Genomic DNA, 5,254 nt, shown 5'->3' on the forward strand with positions numbered 1-5,254 from the left:
TGGCTAGCCACCTTTAATAGCTAAGGCACTCAGTGGTTAGAAAATTTCTCAAGGTCGTGCAGCCAATACTGAGATCCCTTCTAGCTCTAAAATGTTTTAGCTCTATGGATGAAAGTAAACGCCTGAGTGCCCTTCTAAGAATTCTTGGGACTTGGGTAAAAACACCTGCCCCTGGCAGCATCCACAGGAAGTTCCATGAGAGGTCACAGGAAGGAAGGGAAGAACAAGAGGACAGGGGCTGGAGGGATGGCGGGGGAGACGTGAGGTAAATACTGTAGTAAGCAGGTGCAAAGGGAAAGAGACAGAGACCAGACCAGCTGCCAAAGGAGGCAGAGGGGACCCCCAGCCTCCCTAGGGAGGATTAGGCCTTTGTCAAACGTTTGATGCAAACCCGTGCTCTGGCAGCATTCAGCGGGTAATGTATGCTGCTAACAAGTATCAAAGCCTCGTGGAGGGGTCCTCTGAGGAGATGCTGTGTGAACAGGTCATTTCGTTTTGTGCCATTAGCCACTGTACTTCACTGGAATAAGTGCACCCTGCAAAGCCCAGAACTTCACACTCCAGCTGAGAAACTTGCACACCCACAACTAGAAGACAAAACATAATGACATTCCACCGCTCTGAGCAGGCTTCCACACCCCTAGTCAATGGAGCCCCGGTCCCTGGCACCCCTAAGTGGCTTTAAGCACTTGACGATAGACTGCTGGCCCTATTGCTCAAAAATAATACCCGATGCACTCGGGAGACAGGCTGCAATCCAATAAACCAACAGCCCCAAAGTCAGCAAGATCATAATTTGGAAATTGTTCTCCCCCTGCCCCAGTCTATTCCACAGACTTCAAATTGATCTGTCTAATCTCTTATCTGTAGCTATGAAATTGTATTTCCCTCTTAATAGGCCTACAAATGTTATAGATGAATAGTTCAATAGCAGGCAAAGAGGGAAGCAGCAGGCATACTAAAAAGGGACATTAGCTCCTCGCACCCTTGTTTTTTGAGTCTTGCTCTGTCACCCAGGCTGGAGTGCAAAGGCGTGATCTCAGCTCACTGCAACCTCCACCTCCCGGGTTCAAGCAATTCTCCTGCCTCAGTCTCCCAAGTAGCTGGGATTACAGGCATGTGCCACCCCACCCAGCTAATTTTTGTATTTTTAGTAGAAACGGGGTTTCACCATGTTGGCCAGGCTGGTCTCGAACTCTTGACCTGTGATCTTCCCACCTCGGCTTCCCAAAGTGCTGGGATTACCAGGCGAGAGACACCATGCCCGGCCAAATTCCCATTGTTTTAAGCCACCCAGTTTGTAGTCCTTTGTTATGGCAACCCCAGAAAACTCTTACACACTCCAAGCTGGGTTAAGTCCCTGCACACACACTGCGTGCCCCAGAACCAAGCCTCGCCAGCACTGTGTTGATGCCATTTCCTCCGGCATGTTGACGTCACCACCACCACCCCTCCCCATGCGTCATATTGACGTCACTTCCTCCACCATGTTGATGTCACTTCCTCCACCGTGTTGACGTCACTTCCTTCCTCAGTAAGGTGTGAGTTCCTTGGCAGAGGGTCTGCTTGTCGTCTTCGTTGGACTGCCCCACCCAGAGCCTGGGACACTTCAGGGACACATCTACTCTTGTCCTGTGGGTTGAATAAAATGGAACAGACTGGAATTTCTAGGGCTGCTGGAAGGACCTCCTGTTCTCAGATGCCAAAAGGAAACTTCTGTTCCCCGTGTCCTCTCTTCTCATGGGTCAGGAGCCCAGGCCTCCCTCCCGAAGCTGGCAGGGTGACCCCCCACTCCTTTTGACAAGCTCTCAGTTTTTAGCCCCCGCCCTCCACAGCCACTGGCAGCAACTTCACACATTTATTCCTGAACAACAAATCTGTTTCCCTGGCAGCATCTTCTCTCATCATTACCTCCTCCCACTCCCTGGTCCTCTGAGGACATTCTCAGGCTCCATTCAGGAAGCTCACAGACTCCATGGCACCAGCAACAGGTGGAAAGCATGACAATGGTCACACAGACAGAGGCAACAAAAATACTTAGCAAGCATCTGTCATGTGCAAGAAGCAGGATGAGGGGCTGGGGACAGGAAGTCCAGGGTGTGGAAGCTCATCCCATCCTTGCTGTCAGTCCCCAGCAAGAGTCACCACTAGGAGAGAGCTGTGGTTGTTTACTGACTGCACGGCTTATCGCTGCCATTTCTGCCTTATTATGGAGGGCCCAGCTGGCACCGAAGTCGCTGGAGCCCCAGAGTGCTGCCTGTCAAAGTGTCATCTCATTTGCTGGCTGGTTGCTGAAAAGCATAATGAAAATTATGTTCTGCTCTAGTCTGATCCCCACTGAAAGCCCCTGATGCTGGGAAGACATGGCATGCAAGCAAACATTCACCATCCCCAGGAAAAGCACTTCTAGGCGCACTTCTCAATCTCCGTAACCTGACACTCATCCCCATCATGGGCCATGAAGTCTGGGTCTCACATCCTGGCTATTTCCTGAGCTCCTGTCCTGAATGTCCTCCTGTCTTCCAGGATATTGCATGAGCCCTGTCTGTTTCTACAACCATCAACCAGGATCCAAGGCTGCTGCAGGCTGCAAGCATCACTGTTGACCACCTACAGTGTGTCAGTGACTCTGCAGCCCCAGAAGTCCCTGAGATGCTAGCAGTCCCCTCAGGAACTTGCATACTGGAGATCAGTGAGGAAGGGACCAGAGTCCAACTCCCCCGTCTGGGGTTTTCAGAGGTCAGTGGAAGGGCCAGTGCTTCTATAGACAGCTCAAGGAAAGTTTGGGAGAAAGGTAGATATTTGAATTCCTTACTGAAGATTGAATGAGATCTGGGCACACAGGCCAAGGGAGGAGGGCACCACACAAGGGAAAGAATTAAACCTGAAGAGCCGGGAAGGTGGGAAGAGGCCAGGAGCAGAGGAGAGAGGGATATGTGTGGCTGAAGGAGAAGCCATGGGGCTAAGGGCTAGAGATTTGGCTTCTGATGCCCGGTTCACAGCCCAGCCCTGCCACCTGTCAGTTGTCCAGGTTGCCTAAGATTTCTGCAACTCAATTTCTCATCTGTGCAAATGCAAAGAAACACAGTTGATGAAGGGCCTGGTACATAGCCAAAGACTTCTGAACATCAGATCCTGTCATTTGAAGGAGAAGGTGGAGGGGGAGGGGTGGCTTAAAGGTCAGATTTGAGATTTGGGGCTTTTTCTTATAGAGAAGGGTCTGTTTATGTCATTGCAGCCTGATATGGTTTGGCCGTGTCCCCACCCAAATCTCATTTCAAATTGTAACTCACACAATTCCCACATGTCATGGTTCGTGGGAGGAACCTCATGAGAGGTAATTGAATCATAGGGGTGGGTCTTTCCCGTATTGTTCTCATGATAGTGGATAAGTCTCATGAGATCTGATGGTTTTATAAGGGGGAATTTCCCTGCACAAGCTCTCTCTTTGCCTGCTGCCATCCATGTTCAATGTGACTTGCTCTTCCTTGCCTTCTGCCATGATTATGAGGCTTCCCCAACCTCATGGAACCGTAAGTCCATTAAACCTCTTTCTTTTGCAAATCGCCCAGTCTCAGGTATGTCTTTATCCACAGCATGAAAACAGACTAACACACAGCCTGAGGAAGTTAATGTCATGAGGTTAGAGCTATGCTTCAAAATGATAGATCTGGGGGCTTAAAACGGAGAGAGGCTGCAGGTGGAGAGACCACTAAATGGTCCAAGGAGAGGTCACAAGAGGTAATCCCATGTGCCAAGGACATGAACAGAGGAGATGTTGAGATGAGAGAGGAATTGTCAGAATCTACAGAACTCAGAACCAATGTGTTAGCTTACAGGATGGGGGCACACACAGGGATGTCCAGCTTTTGTTCCTGAGTGAGAGGAGATGGAGATATTATCAGGAAGGAGAAAAAAATGAGGAAAAGAACAAATAAATAAATGAGAAAGAGAAGGGTTTGTACATAGAAATGAGAAGTTCAGTTGCTAACATGTTGGCACCTTGGCTGGGCGTGCATCGAGGAGGCTTTCTGGAAGACAGGAGGACATTCAGGACAGGAGCTCAGTCAAGAGCTAGGATGTGAGACCCAGATTCAAGGTCGCCCTCACCTGGCAGAGAGGAAGACATGTGAGTAGATGGAGGAGACAGGCACCAGAGTGAGTCTTGGAATCCTTTCTTATTTAAAACATACAGAAGGAAGTCTGTTCACGAGGAATGCTTTTGGCTGCACTTAATGAAAAAAAAATGTAAAAATTGGGTGGCAAGGCACTGTGGCTCACACCTGTAATCCCAGAACTTTGGGAGGCCAATGCAGGTGGATCACCTGAGGTCAGCAGTTTGAGACCAGCCTGGCCAACATGGTGAAACTCCACCTCTACTAAAAATACAAAAATTAGCCAGGCATGGTGGTGGGCACCTGTAATCCCAGCTACTCAGGAGACTGAGGCACAAGAATCGCTTGAACCCGGGAGGCAGAGGTTACAGTGAGCTGCCACTACACTCCAGCCTGGGTGACAGAGCAAGACTCTGTCTCTTAATAAATAAATAAATAAATGTTAAAAAATAAAAATTAGGTACTTTCTTTGTTTCCATAAAACAAGAATCTGGAGTTTGGGAGCGGCTGGTCTTGATTCAACATCTCAGTGAGGTCAGGCCTGATATTTCTGTGACGCCTTGTCATTCTGTGGTCTCAAGGTGATCACACCTGCACCCAAGGTGAAAATGAGGGGATGGGGTGCAGCATTTGTCTGCATTATCAGGAGTGTCCCCAGAGGACTCTGATGCATGCTCACTGGTGAGCACCATGTCACCTGGCCACTTTCTGTAGTATTGAAGAAGGCTGGAAAATGAGATTCTCCTATTTCTGCTTGGGTCATAAAGAAGAAGGAAGTTAATGCTGTGTTAGCTGTGTCAGTGTCTGCCATAGGGGGCAGGAAAAATGAAGACAGAGAATATAATGTTTCAGAAACCAAGTTTCAAGATGGGCACAGAAGTCGGGAGTGTTAACTTCTTCATACACTGGAAAGGTGGTAGTGGAGCAAATTCACTGGTGTTCTGTGATCAGTTCTAGGAGGCAAAAGGACCATCAATAGGAGGACTAGGTGGTGAAGAAGTGGAGGAAGCAAGAATAGACCAACACGCGAACACACTTGGCAGGGGGAACAGAATGCATCAGAACAGAGTGAAGCAATGGAACCAAGGGAGAATCAAGCCCATCTGTAGATAGAGGAGAAGGAACCAGAAAGTCTGTGA

At 48.9% G+C, this 5,254-nt stretch overlaps 1 annotated feature.

Annotated features, from left to right (window-relative positions):
* Nucleotides 1,011-2,210: an enhancer, noted in NCBI's record as "CDK7 strongly-dependent group 2 enhancer chr1:5408560-5409759 (GRCh37/hg19 assembly coordinates)". NCBI's record gives its function as "activates an origin of replication core promoter dependent on BRD2, BRD4, P300/CBP, MED14 and CDK7 cofactors, with strong dependence on CDK7, by STARR-seq in HCT116 cells {active_cell/tissue: HCT116}" and the evidence as "EXISTENCE:reporter gene assay evidence [ECO:0000049][PMID:35650434]".

Source organism: Homo sapiens, chromosome 1 (assembly GCF_000001405.40).
Source record: "Homo sapiens chromosome 1, GRCh38.p14 Primary Assembly".
NCBI classification, from domain to species: Eukaryota; Metazoa; Chordata; class Mammalia; order Primates; family Hominidae; genus Homo; species Homo sapiens.